General features: G+C 41.1%; 2 annotated features.

The window, feature by feature from the left end:
- Nucleotides 802–1,303: an enhancer, noted in NCBI's record as "H3K4me1 hESC enhancer chr6:87440887-87441388 (GRCh37/hg19 assembly coordinates)". NCBI's record gives its function as "activates a minimal SCP1, AML or CMV promoter by ChIP-STARR-seq in primed H9 embryonic stem cells {active_cell/tissue: H9 hESC(primed)}" and the evidence as "EXISTENCE:reporter gene assay evidence [ECO:0000049][PMID:30033119]".
- Nucleotides 1,304–1,803: an enhancer, noted in NCBI's record as "H3K4me1 hESC enhancer chr6:87441389-87441888 (GRCh37/hg19 assembly coordinates)". NCBI's record gives its function as "activates a minimal SCP1, AML or CMV promoter by ChIP-STARR-seq in naive and primed H9 embryonic stem cells {active_cell/tissue: H9 hESC(naive and primed)}" and the evidence as "EXISTENCE:reporter gene assay evidence [ECO:0000049][PMID:30033119]".

The raw sequence follows: 24,167 nt of genomic DNA on the forward strand, positions 1-24,167 counted from the left end.
TGACAAAGCCTTGACTAGCCTAGCAGGGAGCTCTGAATCAACAATTGCTCATCAAAGTTGTCCTGCAACATGCATCCAAATTCAACATGCCTTCGTATCCCTGCCCTGCTAGTAACTTCTTGTAAGATGCCCTAGAAATACCTGACCTGAGGGGAGGTGGCTGTCTGGAGTAGAGGCAGACCTTGAAAGAGCTGTCAGCTTATACCTTATACAAAAATTAATTCAAGATGGATTAAAGACTTAAATGTTAGACCTAGAACTATAAAAACCCTAGGAGAAAACCTAGGCAATATCATTCAGCACATAGGCATGGCAAGGACTTCATGTCTAAAACACCAAAAGCAATGGCAACAAAAGCCCAAATTGACAAATGGGATCTAATTACATGAAAGAGCTTCTACACAGCAAAAGAAACTACCATCAGAGTGAACAGGCAACTTACAGACGGGAGAAAATTTTTTCTATCTACCCATCTGACAAAGGGCTAATATCCAGAATCTACAAAGAACTTAAACAAATTTACAAGAAAAAAGCAAACAACCCCATCAAAATTGGGCGAAGGATATGAACAGACATTTCTCAAAAGAAGACACTTATGCAGCCAACAGACACATGAAAAAATGCTCATCATCACTGGCCATCAGAGAAATGCAAGTAAAAACCACAATGAGGTATCATCTCACACCAGTTAGAATGGCGATCATTAAAAAGTCAGGAAACAACAAGTGCTGGAGAGGATGTGGAGAAATAGGAACGCTTTTACACTGTTGTTGGTGGGAGTGTAAATGAGTTCAACCATTGTGGAAGACAGTGTGGTGATTCCTCAAGGATCTAGAAATAGAAATACCATTTGACCCAGCAATCCTATTACTGGGTGTATACCCAAAGGATTATAAATCATGCTGCTATAAAGGCACATGCACATGTATGTTTATTGTGGCACTATTCACAATAGCAAAGACTTGGAACCAACCCAAATGTCAATCAATGATAGACTAGATTAAGAAAATGTGGGGAACGGGTCTGTCTGCCAAGATGCCCAAATAGGAACAGCTCCGGTCTACAGCTCCCAGCGTGAGCGACACAGAAGACGGGTGATTTCTGCATTTCCATCTGAGGTACCGGGTTCATCTCACTAGGTAGTGCCAGACAGTGGGCACAGGACAGTGGGTGCAGTGCACCATGCACGACCTGAAGCAGGGTGAGGCCTTGCCTCACTCAGGAAGCACAAGGGGTCAGGGATTTCCCTTTCCTAGTCAAAGAAAGGGGTGACAGATGGCACCTGGAAAATCAGGTCACTCCCACCCTAATACTGCGCTTTTCCAATGGGCTTAAAAAACGGCGCACCAGGAGATTATATCCCGCACATGGCTCGGAGGGTCCTACACCCAAGGAGTCTCACTGATTGCTAGCACAGCAGTCTGAGATCAAACTGCAAGACAGCAGCGAGGCTGGGGGAGGGGCGCCCACAATTGCCTAGGCTTGCTTAGGTAAACAAAGCAGCCAGGAAACTCGAACTGGGTGGAGCCCACCACAGCTCAAGGAGGCCTGCCTGCCTCTGTAGGCTCCACCTCTGGGGGCAGGGCACAGACAAACAAAAAGACAGCAGTAACCTCTGCAGACTTAAATGTCCCTGTCTGACAGCTTTGAAGAGAGCAGTGGATTTCCCAGCACGCAGCTGGAGATCTGAGAACCGGCAGACTGCCTCCTTAAGTGGGTCCCTGACCCCTGATCCCTGAGCAGCCTAACTGGGAGGCACCCCCACAGTAGGGGCAGACTGACACCTCACACGGCCGGGTACTCCTCTGAGACAAAACTTCCAAAGAAATAATCAGACAGCAGCATTCACGGTTCACAAAAATCCGCTGTTCTGCAGCCACCACTGCTGACACCCAGGCAAACAGGGTCTGGAGTGGACCTCTAGCAAACTCCAACAGACCCGCAGCTGAGAGTCCTGTCTGTTAGAAAGAAAACTAACAAACAGAAAGGACATCCACACCAAAAACCCATCTGTACATCACCATCATCAAAGACCAAAAGTAGATAAAACCACAAAGATGGGGAAAAAACAGAGCAGAAAAACTGGAAAATCTAAAAAGCAGAGCGCCTCTCCTCCTCCAAAGGAATGTGGTTCCTCACCACCAACGGAACAAAGCTGGACAGAGAATGACATTGACGAGTTGAGAGAAGAAGGCTTCAGACGATCAAACTACTCTGAGCTACAGGAGGAAATTCAAACCAAAGGCAAAGAAGTTGAAAACTTTGAAAAAAATTTAGATGAATGCATAACTAGAATAACCAATACAGAGAAGTGCTTAAAGGAGCTGATGGAGATGAAAGTCAAGGCTCAAGAACTATGTGAAGAATGCAGAAGCCTCAGGAGCTGATGGGATCAACTGGAAGAAAGGGTATCAGTGATGGAAGATGAAATGAATGAAATGAAGTGAGAAGGGAAGTTTAGAGAAAAAAGAATAAAAAGAAAAGAAATGAACAAAGCCTCCAAGAAATATGGGACTATGTGAAAAGACAAATCTACGTCTGATTGGTGTACCTGAAAGTGATGGAGAGAATGGAACCAAGTTGGAAAACACTCTGCAGGATATGCCCATCAGACGAACAGCGGATGTCTCAGCAGAAACTCTACAAGCCAGAAGAGATGGGGGGCCAATATTCAACATTCTTAAAGAAAAGAATTTTCAACCGAGAATTTCATATCCAGCCAAACTAAGCTTCATAACTGAAAGAGAAATAAAATACTTTACAGACAAGGAAATGCTGAGAGATTTTGTCACCACCAGGCCTGCCCTAAAAGAGCTCCTGAAGGAAGCACTAAACATGGAAAGGAACATCCGGTACCAGCCACTGCAAAACCATGCCAAATTGTAAAGACCGTCAAGGCTAGGAAGAAACTGCATCAACTAATGAGCAAAATACCCAGCTAACATCATAATGACAGGATCAATTCACACAAAACATATTAACTTTAAATGTAAATGGACTAAATGCTCCAATTAAAAGACACAGACTGGCAAATTGTATAAAGAGTCAAGGCCAATCAGTGTGCTGTATTCAGGAAAACCATCTCATGTGCAGAGACACACATAGGCTCGAAATAAAAGGATGGAGGAAGATCTGCCAAGCAAATAGAAAACAAAAAAAGGCAGGGGTTGCAGTCCTAGTCTCTGATAAGACAGATTTTAAACCAACAAAGATCAAAAGAGACAAAGAAGGCCATTACATAATGGTAAAGGGATCAATTCAACAAGAAGAGCTAACTATCCTAAACATATATGCACCCAATACAGGAGCACCCACATTCATAAAGCAAGTCCTGAGTGACCTAAAAAGAGACTTAGACTCCCACACAATAATAATGGGAGACTTTAACACCCCACTGTCAACATTAGACAGATCAACGAGACAGAAAGTTAACAAGGATACCCAGGAATTGAACTCAGCTCTGCACCAAGCAGACCTAATAGACATCTACAGAACTCTCCACCCCAAATCAACAGAATATACATTTTTTTTAGCACCGCACCACACCACACCTATTCCAAAATTGACCACATACTTGGAAGTAAAGCTCTCCTCAACAAATGTAAAAGACGAGAAATTATAACAAACTGTCTCTCAGACCACAGTGCAATCAAAACCAATGAGAACAAAGACACAACATACCAGAATCTCTGGGACACATTCAAAGCAGTGTGTAGAGGGAAATTTATAGCACTAAATGCCCACAAGAGAAAGCAGGAAAGATCAAAAATTAACACCCTAACATCACAATTAAAAGAACTAGAAAAGCAAGAGCAAACACATTCAAAAGCTAGCAGAAGGCAAGAAATAACTAAAATCAGAGCAGAACTGAAGGAAATAGAGACACAAAAAAAACCTTCAAAAAATTAATGAATCCAGGAGCTGGTTTTTTGAAGGAATCAGCAAAATTGATAGACCGCTAGCAAGACTAATAAAGAAGAAAAGAGAGAAGAATCAAATAGACGCAATAAAAAATGATAAAGGGGATATCACCACCGATCCCACAGAAATACAAACTACCATCAGAGAATACTACAAACACCTCTACGCAAATAAACTAGAAAATCTAGAAGAAATGGATAAATTCCTCGACACATACACCTTCCCAAGACTAAACCAGGAACAAGTTGAATCTCTGAATAGACCAATAACAGTCTCTGAAATTGTGGCAATAATCAATAACTTACCAACCAAAAAGAGTCCAGGACCACATGGATTCACAGCCAAATTCTACCAGAGGTACAAGGAGGAACTGGTACCATTCCTTCTGAAACTATTCCAATCAATAGAAAAAGAGGGAATCCTCCCTAACTCATATTATGAGGTCAACATCATCCTGATACCAAAGCCTGGCAGAGACACAACCAAAAAAGAGAATTTTAGGCCAATATCCTTGATGAACATTGATGCAAAAATCCTCAATAAAATACTGGCAAATCGAATCCAGCAGCACATCAAAAAGCTTATCCACCATGATCAAGTGGGTTTCATCCCTGGGATGCAAGGCTGGTTCAATATATGCAAATCAATAAATATAATCCAGTATATAAACAGAACCAAAGACAAAAACCACACGATTATCTCAATAGATGCAGAAAAGGCCTTTGACAAAATTCAACAACCCTTCATGCTAAAAACTCTCAATAAATTAGGTATTGATGGGACGTATCTCAAAATAATAAGAGCTATCTATGTCAAACCCACAGGCAATATCATACTGAATGGGCAAAAACTGGAAGCATTCCCTTTGAAGACTGGCACAAGACAGGGATGCCCTCTCTCAGCACTCCTATTCAACATAGTGTTGGAAGTTCTGGCCAGGGCAATTAGGCAGGAGAAGGAAATAAAGGATATTCAATTAGGAAAAGAGGAAGTCAAATTGTCCCTGTTTGCAGATGACATGATTGTATATCTAGAAAACCCCATTGTCTCAGCCCAAAATCTCCTTAAGCTGATAAGCAACTTCAGCAAAGTCTCAGGACAAGAAATCAATGTACAAAAATCACAAGCATTCTTATACACCAATAACAGACAAACAGAGAGCCAAATCATGAGTGAACTCCCATTCACAATTGCTTCAAAGAGAATAAAATACCTGGGAATCCAACTTACAAGGGACATGAAGGACCTCTTCAAGGAGAACTACCAACCACTGCTCAATGAAATAAAAGAGGATACAAAGAAATGGAAGAACATTCCATACTCATGGGTAGGAAGAATCAATATCGTGAAAATGGCCATACTGCCCAAGGTAATTTATAGATTCAATGCCATCCCCATCAAGCTACCAATGACTTTCTTCACAGAATTGGAAAAAACTACTTTAAAGTTCATATGGAACCAAAAAAGAGCCCACATTGCCAAGTCAATCCTAAGCCAAAAGAACAAAGCCGGAGGCATCACACTACCTGACTTCAAACTATACTACAAGGCTACAGTAACCAAAACAGCATGGTACTGGTACCAAAACAGAGATACAGATCAATGGAACAGAACAGAGCCCTCAGAAATAACACCACATATCTACAACTATCTGATCTTTGACAAACCTGAGAAAAATAAGCAATGGGGAAAGGATTCCCTATATAATAAATGGTGCTGGGAAAACTGGCTAGCCATATGTAGAAAGCTGAAACTGTATTCCTTCCTTACACCTTATACAAAAATTAATTCAAGGTGGATTAAAGACTTAAACGTTAGACCAAAAACCATAAAAACCCTAGAAGAAAACCTAGGCATTACCATTCAGGACATAGGCATGGGCAAGGACTTCATGTCTAAAACACCAAAAGCAATGGCAACAAAAGACAAAATTGACAAGTGGTATCTAATTAAACTAAACAGCTTCTGCACAGCAAAAGAAACTACCATCAGAGTGAACAGGCAACCTACAAAATGGGAGAAAATTTTCACAACCTACTCATCTGACAGAGGGCTAATATCCAGAATCTACAAGGAACTCAAACAAATTTACAAGAAAAAAACAAACAACCCCATCAAAATGTGGGCAAAGGACATGAACAGACACTTCTCAAAAGAAGACATTTATGCAGCCAAAAAACACATGAAAAAATGCTCATCATCACTGGCCATCAGAGAAATGCAAATCAAAACCACAATGAGATACCATCTCACACCAGTTAGAATGGCAATCATTAAAAACTCAGGAAACAACAGGTGCTTGAGAGGATGTGGAGAAATAGGAACACTTTTACACTGTTAGTGGGACTGTAAACTAGTTCAACCATTGTGGAAGTCAGTGTGGCGATTCCTCAGGGATCTAGAACTAGAAATACCATTTGACCCAGCCATCCCATTACTGGGTATATACTCAAAGGACTACAAATCATGCTGCTATAAAGACACATGCACACGTATGTTTATTGTGGCACTATTCACAATAGCAAAGACTTGGAACCAACCCAAATGTCCAACAATGATAAACTGGATTAAGAATATGTGGCACATATGCACCATGGAATACTATGCAGCCATAAGAAATGATGAGTTCCTGTCCTTTGTAGGGACATGGATGAAACTGGAAATCATCATCCTCAGTAAACTATCACAAGTACAAAGAACCAAACACCCCATGTTCTCACTCATAGGTGGGAATTGAACATTGAGAACACATGGACACAGGAAGGGAAACATCACACTCTGGGGACTGTTGTGGGGTGGGGGGAGGGGGGAGTAATAGCATTAGGAGATATACCTAATGCTATATGACAAGTTAATGGGTGAAGCACACCAGCATGGCACATGTATACATATGTAACCTGCACATTGTGCACATGTACCCTAAAACTTAAAGTATAATAATAATAAAATTAAAAATAAAAAAAAATGTGGCACATATACATCATGGAATACTATGCAGCCATAAAAAATGATGAGCTCATGTCCTTTGTAGGGACATGGATGAAGCTGGAAACCATCATTCTCAGCAAGCTATCACAAGGACAAAAAACCAAACATCACATGTTCTCACTCATAGGTGGGAATTGACCAATGAGAACACATGGACACAGGAAGGGGGACATCACACTGGGGGACTGTTGTGTGGTGGAGGGAGTGGGGAGGGATAGCATTAGGAGATATACCTAATGCTAAATGACAAGTTAATGGGTGCAGCACACCAACATGGCACATGTATACATATGTAACAAACGTGCAGGTTGTGCACATGTACCCTAAAACTTAAAGTATAATAACAATAAAATAAAATAAAATAAAAAGAAAAGAAAATGTGGCACATATACACCATGGAATACTATGCAGCCATAAAAAAGGATGAGTTCATGTCCTTTGTAGGGACATGGATGAAGCTGGAAACCATCATTCTCAGCAAACTATCACAAGGACAGAAAACCAAACACCGCATCTTCTCACTCATAGGTGGGAATTGAAAAATGAGAACACTTGGACACAGGAAGAGGAACATCATACACCAGGGCCTGTTGTGGGGTGGGGGAGTGGGGAGGGATAGCATTAGGAGAGATACCTAATGTAAATGACGAGTTAATGGGTGCAGCACACCATTATGGCACATGTATACATATGTAACAAACCTTCAGGTTGTGCACATGTACCCTAGAACTTAAAGTATGATTAAAAAAAAAAAAAGAAAAAGAAAAAGGTTGAGGTTTGAGGTTAGGCTCAGTTTTATAGAAAATGACCTCTTTCTTTCTCTCTGTCTCTCTCTCTCTCATTAACTAAAGTCCGTGGTTTACTTAGATTTCCTTGGGTTTTACCTAATGTCCTTTTCCTGTTCCAGGACCCATTGGATATCACATGACATTTAGTCATCATGTCTCTTTGGACTCCTCTTTGCTGTGACAGTTTCTCAGGATACCCTTGTTTTTGATGACCTTGACAATTTTCAGGAGTGCTGGTCAGATATTTTGTAGGATGCCCACTATTGGAATGTGCCTGATGTTTTTCTTATGGTAAGTCTGGGGTTATGGTTTGTTGGTAGGAAGACCTTGGAGGTTAGGTGCCATTCTTGTCACATCATGTCAAGGTTACATCCTATCAATATGACTTACAGGTGTGTATGTTGACCTTGATCACCTAGCTGAGGTAGTGCATGTCAGGTCTCTTCACTGTAAAGTTACTCCTTTCCCCCCTTTCCATACTGTACCCTTTGGAAGAAAGTCACTATGCACAGCCCACACTGAAGGAGTGGGGGTTTATGCTCCTTCTCCTTGAGGAGGGATTATCTCCATAAACTATTTGAAATTCTCCTGTATGAGAGACTATTTATCTTTTTTATTTTTAATGTTTTCTTAAAACCTAAAAAAATTAAATTACAAGATACAATATAGAAAAGTGCATATCTCAGCTGGGCCCAGTGACTCACACCTGTAATCCCAGCACTTTGGGAAGCTGAAGTGGGAGGATCACTTGAGTGAGGCCAGGAGTTCAAGACCAGCCTGGCCAACATAGCGAAACCTCATCTCTACTAAAAATACAAAAAAAATTAGTTGGACATGGTGGCACACACCTGAAATTCCAGCTACCTGGTAGCTCAGCCATGACAATTGCTTGAATCTGGGAGGCGAAGGTTGCAGTGAGCCAAGATCGCACCACTGCACTCCAGCCTGGGCGACAGGGTGAGATTCTATCTCAAAAATAAATAAATAAATAGAAAAGAAAGAAAAAAAAGAGCAGCCATCAGGAGGCTGTCTGCTGACCACATTTCCTATAGCTGGGGAGCAAGTCCCTCCTTGAAAGGTGATCTTGGTGGCACTTAGCTATGTCTACCACAGTTCACACTTTATGTCACTTGGGTTCCATATGTATTCAGAATTTAGATGGACCTCCAGAATTTTGCTCCTCAAGAATTTTGATGGAAGTCTCTTCTTGGGAGAATTTTAGAAGCGGGACTAACCACAGATCTCACTAGTCTAGCTGGTCTCAGGGCCGCAACTCTCTCCTTCACTATCCATTCTAGATTCCTCTTAGCTTCAAGAGCACCTCTGTTGGCCATGATGGTTTACTACCTGGTATGACCCAGACCTTGAGAGGTAACCCTTATCTACTTACTCCAGATTTGCTTATTAAATATTCAGTCACGATTAGCAAAAGAGTGACAAGAGGCACCTAAATTGGACCACCTAGATTCTATACATATTCCTCCACATCCCTTTTTCTTCCCTAATAATCAGTCTTAATTACCTTCACCAAGAGAGTGACTTCTCATCTTGCCTGCTAGTCCCTGGACACATGAAACCCAAAGTGCCCTGGCAAGAGCCAAAGCATAGAATTCAATGAGACTCTTGCTGGGTTCCCTGGCAAAAGTGTTCCGTTGTTAGAAACCAAGACTTTTATCCCTGCAAAGCCCAGAGGTGTAGGAATGAGAAGCATAAAGACCTCCAATGAATCAATGGGAGTGATAGTTAAGTGCAACCACTACTGCTTACATTTCTTGGTCCTAGTCTTGAAACCCAGTACTATATCAAGATCTGATTCTGTGCCTATACTGCAAATTCGATGCTGTCCCTCTGATACGACACTTCAACTGTGCCTTCAGCAAGTGTTTCAATGCCCCTTCAGAAGTAGCAACTTATGGGTGTTATGGCATGGGATATTACCAGAGGATCCTGTGGTCATAGGCCCACTCTTACATTTTCTTTGCTCTAGAGAGGGACCCCTGGTCTAAGTGATCAAATACTGCATAAAACCTTGGATAGGTGTTGGCTGAAGTCCTGCAAGCAGAAATGACAAATCCATTTCTGGGTGTATTAAGGTTCTTTGGAAGGACAGACCAATAAGATATATGTACATATAAAAGGGAGCTTATTAGGGAGAAATGGCTCACACGAGTGAAGTCCCAATATAGGCCATCAGCAAGCTGAAGAAAGAGAACGGGGTAGTGGCTCTGCCAAATTCTAAAAGCCTCAAAACCAAGGAAGACAGTGGTGCAGCCATCGGTCTGTAGCCAAAGGCTCAAGAGTCCCAGGGAAGCTGCTGGTGTAAGTCTCAGAGTCCAAAGGCTGAAGAAGCTGGAGTCTGATATCCAAGGGCAGGAGGAGAGGAAGTGTCCAGCATGGGAAGAAACAGAGAGCCAAAAAGCCTCAGCAAGCAAGCTTATCCCCCACATCTTCTGCCTGCTTTGTTCCAGCCACATTGGCAACTGACTGGATGATGCCCACCCACAGTGACAATGGGTCTCCTCTCCCAGTCCACCAACTCAGTGTCAATCTCCTCTGGCAACACTCTCACAGACACACCAAGAAACAACACTTTATCAGCCATATAGGCATCCCCCAATCCAGTCAAATTGACACCTAATATTAACCATCACATCAGGATAGGTATATATTCCCAAAAGCAAATCACTGGCCCTTCCAGGATAAAAGGGGCCTTGTGTAGTCAATTTGCCATCAAGGGGCTGATTGATCTTGTGAATGGTGCCATCTAAGGGTCCCAGCATTAGTCTCTGTTTCTGGTTGGACAGTAAGAGGCAGAAGTATCTAGATCAGTGTTAGAAGTATAAGCCTATGCTGTTTGTTAGGCTGGAACACAACCTCCATCCCTGCTACCATTGCCACATTTTTCACTTGCCCATTGTGACAACACTGGGTAGCTGATGATGGAAGCTGGCTGACATCTTCTGTCTAAGACATTTTGTATCCTTGTCAGACTAGTGCTTCTTTCATGGTGGATGTTCTCTCTTAGATAACATGTGATACAAAGATCTTTAATACTTCATATCTACTCCCATATGTACATCTACATTTTTCTAAACCAAACTTCCTTGTCCTCGATCTTTTAATGTTTTCATTTCCAGCCAAGCCAATTGCCAGTGACCATGAGTCCATATATGCTCAAATCCAAGCCACTTCTCTTTCCACAAATACTGGATGACCAGGTACACCATCAGAAGTTCTACCCATTGGGTGAAACTTTCCTTCACCATTGTCTTTTGAACCCACCTCGGATTGGGCTTTAGTATAGTTGCTCTCCATTTTCAGCTTGACTTCATATACCATGATGACGCATCCCATAAAGCAAGTTCAGACTTCCCTTCTCCTTTAGGTGTTTGATTGGAAGACCAAATACAGCTCTAAACGTCAACTGAAGAAAGGTGTTGGTGCAACAACGGTGGATGCTGTGGGAGCCTGAGCTACCTGCCCATACAGCTTGATTATGCCTATTGATCCCATCTGCAGCACTTTCATCTTATAAAGGATCATTGCTGTACTCACACAGCCTTATGACTTGTGTGCATCTCCCAAGACCCAGCTCTTTAGTCAGTGGGCTCTGGATATGAAAACTGGCTCAGGTCTGGAAATTGGATATGAGATTGTAACTTTTTACTAGGGCAAGCATCTATTATTTCTCCTCACACAGACCAACATCCTTGTTGATTGCCCATCTAGAGACACTGTAAACTGTTAAGCATCTCCATAATTCTCTGAAAGTCAGACCTCCTTGGCTTACAGTCCACCTTGCCAGTTGTTATGGTAATTGTAAACCTCTTTTTCTGGCAGTTAAATGTTGCCACCTGCTCTTTATTGTGTTAGAATTTTGTCATCCCCACTTGTATCAGCGTGCTAAGTTCTGTAACATCTTCTACTGTCAGCCTGGCCTGTAGAGGACAACTGCCACTGAAAGTTTTAGTGATATTAGTGTCCCCTCACCAGCATACTTTCACGGCCTTGGTAAATGGTGTGCCCTCTGGGTCTTGTGGAACATAACTGTCTTGTGGGTCTTCTGGCCACATGGTATCCACTCTAGCATATCCAAAACCTGAAGCCTTTTAATTTCTTCCTCTACTATCTCCTATACGATTCTGGCATTTCAACTTTGTTTAGTGTAAGCTATGATTTTTTTCTGTGCTTCTAGAACCCATCCTGATCATGATTTTGCATCATTTCTTGAGCTCCTTGCCAAAATGTGAAATTCTGTAACTTGGTAGAATGTTTCCTTCTCTGATCTTATGTTCTAGTCTCCTTGATTAAGCACCCTCAGGACCCAATCTCACACATATACGCATGGCTCCTGCCAGAACATGCTGGCTAGATCTTTATCTCCTCTGGGGTATACTCCCTTTACTCTCTTGTTACGCCCAGCATCGCCCTCACTGAAATATGCTGGAAATGTACCCTAGTTATAGGTGTAGTGGACAGGAGGGGAGAAGGGAGCAGATCCTGTGAGGAGCACCTGTTCTTTTCTGAGAGTTTTCATTTTTTTTCCAGCATGTCATTGTGTTGGTTTTTAACATGGAGGTATGGAACACTTATGAAGGTTCAGAGGATTTAAGGAGTCTGGAAAATCAAAAATCAAAATATTTGGGAGCATCCACTCATTGTTCTTACCTTCCATGTAGGAGTCTCTGGTTTTCCCCATGAGTTCTAACCTTTGCTTAACAATCTGCCTTTGGTGGAGGTTAATCATTTTGAAGTTCAGCCACTATAAATTCTAGTCTCTATCCTTAGCTTTCTTCAATCTCTTTTTCAGAAAATAACAGTGTCTTATTTATAAAACCAAAGCTTGCCTCTGGAGTTTATATCTGGCTTTTAGTTGTATGCTGCTTACCCTCATTTATTTGTTATAAATAAGAAATAAGTTCCACTTATCAAAACCATCGAGTTCAATTATCTTTATTAGAGCTACTATTTATCCTGTATGTCACTGTTTAGAAAAAACACAAACCCTGTTTTTTCTCTGCTCTAACACCAACACAACAATCAATGCAGAAGACTTCTGTGACCAAATGGGTGGGGGTTTTTCCCCACTGACTGGGGATACCAGTTGGGTATCCTCCAATTCAATTCTGACACTGTCTACCTGGAGATAGCATCAGATTCCACAGGTTGAGACCTCAGTCCCCTATTGCCCTGCCACTTCAGATACAAGTTGCAAGTCTGAACCTCTGGAACTTCTGACCAACCAGCTTTAAGTTGGGCTTTCCACCACTCACTCTTTGGGTTCAATTAATTTGCTGGAGTGGCTCACAAAACTTAGGGGAACACTTGTGTTTACTGGTTTATTATAAAGGATATTGCAAAGAATAGATGAAGAGATGCATAGAGTGAGGTATGGGGGAAGGGACCAGAGCTTCTATGCTCTCCCTGCTTACAACACTCTCCAGGAACATCCATGTGTTCAGGTATCCAGAAGCTCCCAAATCCTGTCCTTTGTGCCTTCTATGGAGACTTCATTGCTTTTCCATGATTGAACCATGTACAGCCATTAGAAATGTAACTGGACAAAAAGGATATGACCTAATCCCAGCAAGGCCTTTTTGGCCTCTTTGTGCAGCTTTCTTTCCTCTAGAGTGTGAGGGTCTTATGATCCACAATTAGATTAGGGTCCTGAGATTCTGTTTCCTGAGGCCTGCTTCTTAGGCCTAAAGCACTCCAATATTATAACAAAACACTGTAACAAGGACTATGGGAGATATGAGCCAGGAACCATAGACAAAAATGTGTGTGTGTGTGTGTGTGTGTGTGTCTGTCTGTCTGTCACAAACACATAAAATATAATAATACCAGCTACTATTCCCTTCCACTGATACAATTCACTAGAAATGCACTACCAACTTACCAACAGTGATATGGTTCTTATTTTTGGCTGGGCTATAACAATCCAGCTCCAAACCCCCATCTTATTATCTGATTTGTGGTACCACTCCTGTTATCAACTGACATACGGTGGATTGTATAAAATGAAGTTGGAGTGTAAGATGTTAATGAAGTGATCAGCACCTGGCAAAGGAGAGGGGAGGGAGCAGGACTGAACACAGGAAGAAGTTAAACTATAATGCAGGCCTGACAAACCCTCAGCCAACCTAGTGGTCACCTCTGGAGTGAGAATGACTCAGAGGTATTGGGTCACACTGGATGGACCTGTACTGAGCTCACTCATCAGATGGGGGCTGCCCTAGAAAGGCAAGACCTTGGGAAAGTGGCTCTCTGCAGCTGACATGAGGCCAACCCTAAAGAAGCTGCCAGTTGTAGGTTGTCTGCAAACCATATTCCCCTCAGCTAGGTAGCAAGTCCCTCTCTGATGTGAGATCTTGGTTTCATAGCTCCATGTCTTGCACATTTCTTGAGTCATTTTCTAGAACAGTGGTAAAGATGAGTGGTATAGTATGGATGTTTGTCCCCCAAACCACGTGTTAAAATTTCATTTCCAGTGTTGGAGGCGGGCCTAATGAGAGGTGTTTGGGTCACAAGTGAGATCCCTTATGAACAGATCAATGCCTTCCCTGGGAAGGGAGGTAACTGAGTTCTCCCTGTATGAGCTCCCAGGAAAGCTGATTGCTAAAAGGGGCCTGATGCCTCACTCCCCACTCTCTCACTTTCTTTGTCTCACCATGTGACCTCTACACTCCAGTGCCCCTTCGCACCTTCCACCATGAGCAGAAACAGCCTGAAGCCCTCACCAGAAGCAGACGCTGCACCATGCTTCTTGTACCTGCACAACCATGAGCCAAATAAACCACCTTCTTTTCTTTAAAAATTATTCGACTTCAGGTATTCCTTTATAGTAACACAAAAATGGACTAAGAAAATGAACCATGCTTACTACAATTCCTCAGCATCCATGCTAATCCACAACCCCTTCCCTCCCCCAGCTCCTTCATTCCAATGTGAAGTCTCTAGAAACTAGGTATTTCACTGCATCTGGCAAAGCAATGCACAGTTTTAAGGTACAGGGCACTATAGTACAAGCTACAAGAGAGAAAACCAGTTTCTGCCTGGTTTATACTGGTCAAGATAGTATAAGAAAAGGTTGAATCAAAACTGCCCTAACCCTATTAATAATATACTAGTAATATAAACAACATATTAATAACATGAAACTTGTCTATTAATTTACTTAAGGACCCATTTCAATATCACTGGGAGTGGTTTCTTACTGTTATGAACTTCTCTAATATTCACTCTTTTACCTTATAGCACTCTTGGCTACCTCAAACTTTAATTATTTGCACATATTTTCTCTATACTACTAATATACACTATCTTCATATTAGTCTCTTTCTTGAGCCCATCACCCAGTTTATTAGGCCCTGGAGAAATATTTTTCAATGTCTCCATTGCATAATATAGCAGTCTTCAACATTCTCCTGAAGGATATGAAAAATGATGTTCACAGGAAAAACATGCACTCATAGATATGCTCATATTTTAGAAAAAATATTTTTTCAGACAAGTAAAGAACTGAGATAAGCTATTGGGGAACATCAGTAACAATGGCTGTATGTGGGCTGCAACATAAAGAAGACAAGTGCCATTTATAAGCAATTCCCAATATTTTGAGTGGCACTTTCTGAGGTCCAGAATCACATAACCAATTTTCTACTGATATCTCCACCCATCAGTAACAAAAGCTTACCTTCAACCCCAAAGCTGCTTCCCGTGTCTTCTACTTCAGCAAATGGCACTGTCGTGCATACAACTTCTCAACCAAACACTTGGGATTCATCTTGGACCACTCCCCATCTCATACACCATTCATTTCTACTTAACCCCCAAGTCCTAATGATTTTTTCACTTAATATCTCTTGAACATATCCACTTCTTTTTATCCCTTAATCTCTTCCATTTCTCACAGTTTCCCAGCTCATCTCACTGGATTTATTCTTGGTCTCTCCAAACTGTTCTCCACATAGAAGCCAGAGTAATCATTTAAAATTTGAAATTGATTTAGATCATTTTTCACTCAAAGCCCTTCTGTGGTTTCCCATTTCCCTCAGGATAAAGCCCTGAATCATTAAGATGTTCCATTTCATACCACAGCTTTCCTGGCTCTTTTCACCGCAGCCTTTCCTTACTGTGTTTTCGGTTCCTTGAACATGCCTTTCTTTCTCGTGTCAGGACACTCAAACATGCCATTTCCAGTGTTTCCCCATTCCTAGCTCAGACAGTTCCTATTTGTCCTTCAGATTTCAACTTAAAACGTTTGTTTCAGAAGGAGGCACTCTGTAATGGTGACTCTCCATTTCTTTTCTCTCCTCCCCAATGCTTCTCTCTTCTTTCCTGCCCCGATCTGGGCTCCAGAAAGCTAAGACAAACCTCCTGCCTCGCTTAGCCTGCCTCGCCCTCTGGTTCTGTCTGGAATGGCTGAAGGCAAATACTTGAGGGAGAACAGAGCAAGAAGAGAGGGAGGTCAGGATATTTCTTCCCTCGCTCCCTCCCTGCCTTACCTTGTGCTTCTGGGAGTGGCTGTGTTCCTCTTCTCAATGGCCCCAGTTCTCACCAGATGAGGTACATAAAGGCCTCCCCATGACAATTAGTCCCTAAATGACTCAACGTCCACAGCTGGTTCCCTTAACTCTGTTGAGAATTCTGTAGATTGCCTCATCACTTGAATGGAATTCTGCTGGGACCCTGACTGATATGCTATTACTGGTTCATTGTTTTACGCTCCCTAAACACTCTTTATTTTCTCTGAGACAGTACTCTCCAACCATGGACCAAAGAACTTCTTCAAAGTCAATCTTTCACACTTGATTACAAGCCCCATGTAGACAGCATGTATTTGTCTTCTTGCCTTTGTATCTCCAGCATTTAGTGCAGTGCATTAAGCATGATTAAGTCCAGCACTTGGTGCTGGACATATAACTGCACATATAAACTGTTCAAATGAAATATTATATGTGAATAAACTATAAATAATAAAGCACTTATATTATTTATGTACTTTTTAATGCTGAAATTAATTCCTTATATTCTTTCTGTTCAACTTCTTGCTTTTTATTGTAAGTTGCCACCCTGGGTTGGTGAGAGCTAAGCTGAATAGATCACCAAAGGAGCACATGGAATGGAGTCCAGACTCAGATACTTGTCTTGTCTACAAAGCTGCAAAATGTTCTCAGACAAATCCCAGTAAGCTCCCAAAGCTTTGCAAGATGCCTATTTTTTAAGAAAATTGAATTTTCAGGGAAGACAGGAATTATCTTTTGAAAAAATGGCTGGTAATATTTTACTTTATTGATTAAATTCCAAAAAAGAAAACTAGACTTAAGGATTGTGCATAACTAGCCTCAGGGGAAAAGAATACCAACCAACAACAAAAATATATTTCTCAAACTTAGAGGTAGAAAACACTGAGGCATCAGTATTCCAGAAGCTCACTGCTTAGGCACTTGGAGCTCCGTGCCAGAACCATCCTTCCGTAGTTCATATTGACACTTCCACGTCTACAGAAATTCACGTTTAGAAAGGCAGTCTTTAATACTACAAGGTATAGTAGACTTTGATTTGATTTCTTTTTTTTAAAGTTGTCATATTTCTTTAGAAAAATAGAGACAGACTATGGGGATCATTAGAATTAGACATGCTAAGATACAGCAAATGCTCCTTCACAAGTGGTAGCCTGGGAGTCATTCATATACACTCATATTGTTGGATCTTTCCTGAGCTGAACAAGAAAGAGAGGAGACTGGCCAGAAGCATGCAGGTACGCCAATCTCTTCCTGCTCTCATGGTCTGCTTGCCCACCCTTTCATTTTTATAAACACTGCTAAGCTTCCCCTGCTCTCCTTGGTCCCACCTATCTGCACTCATCCTCCAGGAAACCCACACCATTCATCTCACATGCACTGTTGCTTGTGTTTGATGAAACCACACTTGCATTCTACCTAGAACAGTTAAGATTCTTGGGCATCCTCAAGCCACATATCATCTCCATGAGACTTCAGCAAATGTTCCTGCACAACCTCTCTTATTGCTAAAAATTATGGTATCAAGTGACCAGAGCTGCGAGAAATCTATTAGAACTAGGTCAATGCCTCCATTTTACAGACAGGAAAGGTAGAACCACAGGAGCAAAAGGCCTTGCTTATCCCTCTCAGTTGAAAAATGATATGCAGAAATGCTTAGTTCCTCAGCTTCCCAGCAAGTCAGAGTCTCCAAGCAGGAGAATATGTCATTCTGCAACTGGTAGCTTCCACTGTGGACAGAGGCTATGACTGCCACATTTTTAGCATAATTCATAACATCATTTCATGGATCCAGTGGATGAAGTTTACTTTCTGCATTTTTTAATCTCTCTCTATCCTTCTCTACCTCTCTTCCTACCATTCCCGTTCCTTCTTCTCTTCCTCTTTCTCTTCTTTCTTTAACAGGTCTTTCTTTAAAAGTAAAACAGATTCATTGAAAATAATTTGGAAAATACAAAAAATAAGTTATCCATAATCTCACCATCTGGAGAGAACAGTTGTTGTATTTTCTTCTAATAATTTCCTGTATACACTTGGATTTATATACACATAATCCTAACTTGGATACAGACTAAGCTCCCTGGACTCTGTGGGCCCTAGATACCAATAAAGGTATCCTGAAATAAAGGAAACTGATAGAACTCATTATAAAGTTTATATAAGACAACTTCAGGGCCTCCCAGTCATAAATGCTGAGATTGACTATGCAAACAGAGAGAATAAACGTAAAATTTTGTACATAATCAGTAATGAGACCTCGTTTGTACTCATACACTAGTGAAGGCCAGAGAAACTCAGCCCACACACATGTTATAAATGGATATCATACTCTACAGTTTTGTATCCTGCATCTTTAACATCATGGTGTTTCACATCTTTAAAATAATTTGAAAACATACAGCAGCTTTTCAGTGATGATATTTGACATGAACAATCACACAGAGCCTAGAATGGCCACAGAACAGAGTTCCAGGCTTTCACACACATTCAGGCCTCTGAGTGAGGGCTCCAAAGTGATGCACAGGTTCTTTCTCTTCCCAAATGAAATTGAACTAGAAACACTGGAAAGTGTTTTCCATTTATAAGCAAAGATTGATTTCTAATGGAGCTTAGGAGGATCACACAGTTATTACTCTGCACGCTCAATGCTTTCACGGGGTTTACATCAATATTTCCTGACAGGATTTCATGATGCATTTTAGTATTTATGATGTTATTGTTTTAAATTTTTCTGCCCTGCATGCTACAGAATGTACCTGGTGTTATTAAATAAAATACTACCTTGGCACCTGAATTTTTTTTAAATGGCTGGTTTTTAAAAATGCTTATCTAAATTATCTTCATTGTTTCCTCACTCAAGTTTCTTATTGTCAACTATTCATATGGCATGTTCATAAATTGTGTCTATTTTAAACCCTATTCAGAAGACGATGGAATAAAGAGCTAACTAAAAACAGAAAATGAAAACAAGAAGTGTGAATGCAAAGGTCACATTTATGCATTTATGTTCCATTCAATGACTGTGATACTGCTTAAGCTCAGCACACTCACATCCACACTGCACTGCAATGTGCTCTCCATACTCCACTGGAAAGTCTCCCAGTTTTTTCTAACTAACCCTATTCCTGACCACCTTAGGGCCTTGGCAGGTGCTACAGCCACCAGCTGGACTCCTCCTCTCTGCCTCAACTTGCAGAGATAACTTGTTCTCGGGATCCTTCAGGCCCAGCACTAGCCTTTCTCTCTGAAGGACAGCTTTCTTAAAAAGCTGGATCAGGGCCGGGCGCGGTGGCTCACGCCTGTAATCCCAGCACTTTGGGAGGCCGAGGCGGGTGGATCATGAGGTCAGGAGATCGAGACCATCCTGGCTAACAAGGTGAAACCCCGTCTCTACTAAAAATACAAAAAATTAGCCGGGCGCGGTGGCGGGCGCCTGTAGTCCCAGCTACTCGGGAGGCTGAGGCAGGAGAATGGCGTGAACCCGGGAAGCGGAGCTTGCAGTGAGCCGAGATTGCGCCACTGCAGTCCGCAGTCCGGCCTGGGCGACAGAGCGAGACTCCGTCTCAAAAAAAAAAAAAAAAAAAAAAAAAGCTGGATCAAATCCTCCAATTACACTCTCTCAGGGTTCACTGGATGTCTCCTTCACAGCACATATCACAAACAAGTTAAATAATGACTTGTGTAATTAGTCACCTGATGCTTCTCTCCCTTGCCAGATTATAAACTCAGTGGGGGCAGGGACTCCTCTTTCTTGCTCGGTGGATCCCTAGTGCCTGAGGCAGTGCCTTTTACAGAGGACTATTTAATAACTCTTTGTTGAATGAAATAGTGAATAAATAAAAATATGTCCACAACTAAGCCTTAGTGTCTAGAGTTCCTGTGTCAACCATGTGAATTAGCCACAGGAGTGAACACTGCTGAGCCCATTGAATGTCCCCTTTGGTAATCTTTGCTGCTGGCTTAATGTCAAAATTTGATTTTGTGAATGTTATTGAATTTTTGAGAGGTGTTAGAGACTAGACCTTAGAAAGAACCCATTAAAAAGTTTATGACTCCCACTTCTAAGTGAGAACATGTGGTATTTGGTTTTCTGTTCCTGTGTTAATTTGCTTAGGATTATGGCCTCCAGCTACATTCATGTTGCTGCAAAGGACATGATTTTATTCTCTTTTAAGGAAGCCAGGCATCACTAACTTCCTGTACCAAAGCTCAAAGATCATCTGAAGCCAAAGCCAGGCTATGTTGCTGGCAAGTACACATGGTTATAGGGATGGTAGAACACAGTACTAGACTGAGTATTTGAAATCAGATTAAAAGACTCATATCTATGCAACCACTGGCCCTACCTGGTATTTTATGATTCAGGTGTCCTCAGTGAGGTTTTGTCTGCCCCATTTTGCCCTAAATTCTGCTTTCCCACTTAGATCATTTCTTAGGCATACCCTTTGCTGAGTCTACAGTGCCTACTCTTCCCCCAAAGGCACAGCTACTCATGAGCTGGTACAGCACATGTAGGAAGAGAAGATTGGCACAGGATATCATCCAAATTGAAGTGAGGGAAGAACATCCTGGGATGGGATCAGATGAGTTCCTTCAAAGAATGGTGTCACTGAAAGAACTTGAGGACGCTGAGGACATAGAGGACTTGGGAAAAATCCATGCATCAGAGAAGGAGAAGAAGCCAATGAAGAAGATTCTGAAGGTGCCAGAAGCTAAGATGGGAATGCACCAGTTTTTGGCAATAACCTGACAATCAGACAGAAGATGAAGAGTAACTGATGATAAGACCAAACTGGTCATAGTACAGAAGTAAAAAGAGAAGGTGGTGGCAGTAGAGTAAGCTGTGGTCTTTGAAAGACAGTTGCAATTCAGATATGTGTGAAACGTTGGAGAATGTCAAATTTGAAACAAATTCTTCTCTTCAGTCAAAAAACCTTGCCCCACAAACTTAAGGAGCAAAACTCTTTGAGCTTTCTAGATACTTGCCTGAAACTACTACTTTGTAATTGCTACATTGGCAAAAGCTTACCCTAATAGCAATTGCTTACCTAGCAATTGCTAGGGTAAGCTTCGGCAAATTCATTCAGGAACAGAACTCTTCGGGTTCCATCAAGAAAGAAGTGCTGGGACTCCAGTGTGTTAGGCAGCATTCTAATGAAGTTTTCCCAAGAGTCTTCTCCCTGGTTAGTCAATCAAACACTAATCTAGATGGAATTAAGGATGCTAATCAGCTGACCTTAAAATAAAGAGGTTATTCTGGATTCTCTGGATAGGCCTAATGTAATTACATGAGCTCTTAAAAGCCAAAAATGAAGGCAAAAGAGACCATCAGAGAGATGAGGCAGGAAGGAACGTAAGAGAAACTCAAAGCCTAACAATGACTTGACCCAATTTTACTAGCTTTGAAGATAGAGGTGGAGGTAACAAGACAAGGAATACATGAAGGCGACTTCTAACAGCTGAGAACAACTTCTGGCCAACAGCTATTGAGGAATCAGGAACCTCTTGGTCTACAACCACAAGGACCCAAATTCAGTCAACAACTTGAGTGAGCTTAGGCCAGATTCATCCCTGAGGCTTGAAAGGAATGCAGGCCTGCCTACACCTTAATTTCAGCCTTGTAAAACCAGGAGCTGAGAAATTATCCAAGCCAATTTAGACCTCTCTGACCTACAGAAATGTGAGATAATTAATTTATATTGTTTTTAAGCCACTAAGCTTGCAGTAATTTGTTATGGCAACAATAAAAAACTAAAACATCAGGTTTTCTACACCAACACAAAATTAAGTTTGGGGATTTTTTAAATCTTGTGATTATTAAAGAAATATATTTTATAGAAAATTTAGAAAAGATAAAAATGTGAGCATCAGATTCTTCACAGCAATGATTAGTTGAAATCCACACCTTTGTGGAATTAAGTTTAAATTAATCAGCCTTTTTCTATATATCCCCAAGTTCTAGCTAATAGGGAATAGACAGAGGAGCTAAATAGGAAAAAAAAAAATAGCAGTTTTATCTCATAACTCCTAAAGCACAGAGGTCCTTAGTAAATTTCTATTCTAAGGTTTACCCTATAAAACAAAGACAAATGGAGGCCTATTAGCTCCCTACTAGAACCCACGCCTTGGGCATCTCATATCCCTGAAGTGGTCACCCAATCACGGAAGGATAAGTCCAGAATGAAAAGTCCCCTTCCTTTGAAGAAGTTGTTCAAGGAGGTTGGCCAAATGGAGTATAAGACGCTAAAAGTCACTGCGTTTGAGCACAAGGAAGACAAACAAAAAGGCAGAGGGGGAATGTGAGGAGGGAGAAAGAGAGACCTCTCCCACCTTGCCTTTTTGATGCATGTGATGGTTAATTTTTGTGTCACTTGGCTTAGACCACTAGTCCAGATGTTTTTATGTTGTTTTTTTAGATGAGGTTAACATCTAAATCAGTAGACTTTGAGTAAAGCAGATTACCCTCCATAATGTATGCAGGCTTCATTCAGTCAGGTGAAGGCCTTAATAGAAAAAGTCTGACAACCCCAGGAGAAGGAGGAATTCTGCCAGAAGACTGCCTTGGGCTTCAACATCTCAACTCTTCCCTGGATCTCCAGCCAGCCTGCCTACCCTGAAGATTTTGAACTTGCCAACCTCCATAATCATATAAGCCAATTCCTTAAAATCTCTCTCTCTCAATATTATGTATCTATATCTATGTATACATACACATATGTATACCCACACATATATTAATCAGGATTCTCTAGAGAAACAGAACATATGAGATACACACATGCACATATATATATATACAAATACAATACAGTAACTCTGCCTCTTTTAAAAACACAGCCCAGTGGATGCTGAGAAAGACAAAGATAGAGAAAGCAAATGTGGCAATATATTAACAGTTGTTAAATCTAGTCAGAAGATCTAAACATTTTTTCTTAGGTTTGATTTTTTCACAATAAAAAAGAATTTATGGGAAAAGGAAGAATTAAATATAGCAACATATAAAAATGAATCCTTACTGATCATGGTCTGGCCTCTGACATACCCTCCTTCAGGTGACTACATAGTAGAGAGATGCCTGCTCTCTCCAGAGAAGAACAACCATGTCTCTGATATGCGGAGAGAGCCAGCCCTCCCTCAGCCGTACATATCCTATTCATTTCAAGATTCATATCCAACAAAAGTTCTGCATAAACAAGGGTCTGCCTAACCCAGGAGTCTGCCTTCCCTTCTCTGAGAACCACCCTTGACATCTACTCTTATAGAAGGGGGATAAAGAACAGCCACTGGCACCTGAGCTTGTGCTTTGGGGTCTCATGCCTCATCCCACACTCACCAACCATAGACAGTCAACCCAAATTCAAAGAATCTTTTCTAAACATATTCAATACTGAAAAATCCAGCGTTTTTCTGTATCTACACATGAATTCTTTTGAAGTATTTTAGCCAAGATGCAATGGATTCAGTCATTTATTTAGAACTGAGAAACTAAATAAAAGAACTTCACAGTGACATTGCCACTATCTGATATCAAAAGACTAAAACTTGTTACAGCAAACAATTTTGCCTTCTTGGTTCCATATAACGAGATAAGTAGTTTGCCTTAATAGTTTTCAGTGCACTTGGGTGGGCCTATTAAAAATACGGTTTTATAGCATCAATTTGCAAAAATATAAGAGGTGGCAAAGGAAAGAATAAAATAATATCTTCATTTTCTTTTGTCATTCTTAGATCCTTTAGTAGATTATAAGCTCCATGAAAGCAAGACACTTTCCTTTTCCCTAAGCCCTGGACCAGAGAAGGTACTCAAAAAATATTTGCTTACACACTAACCTAGTCTCTGGATGTGATCTTCTAGAAGAATTCTTGATGTGTGTATGCAAGGAGATGTGTAAAGAATGTTTATTTCACTATTATTTTTAATTGTAAAAACCTGGAATCAATGTCT

This window comes from Homo sapiens, chromosome 6 (assembly GCF_000001405.40).
Source record: "Homo sapiens chromosome 6, GRCh38.p14 Primary Assembly".
Classification (NCBI taxonomy): domain Eukaryota; kingdom Metazoa; phylum Chordata; class Mammalia; order Primates; family Hominidae; genus Homo; species Homo sapiens.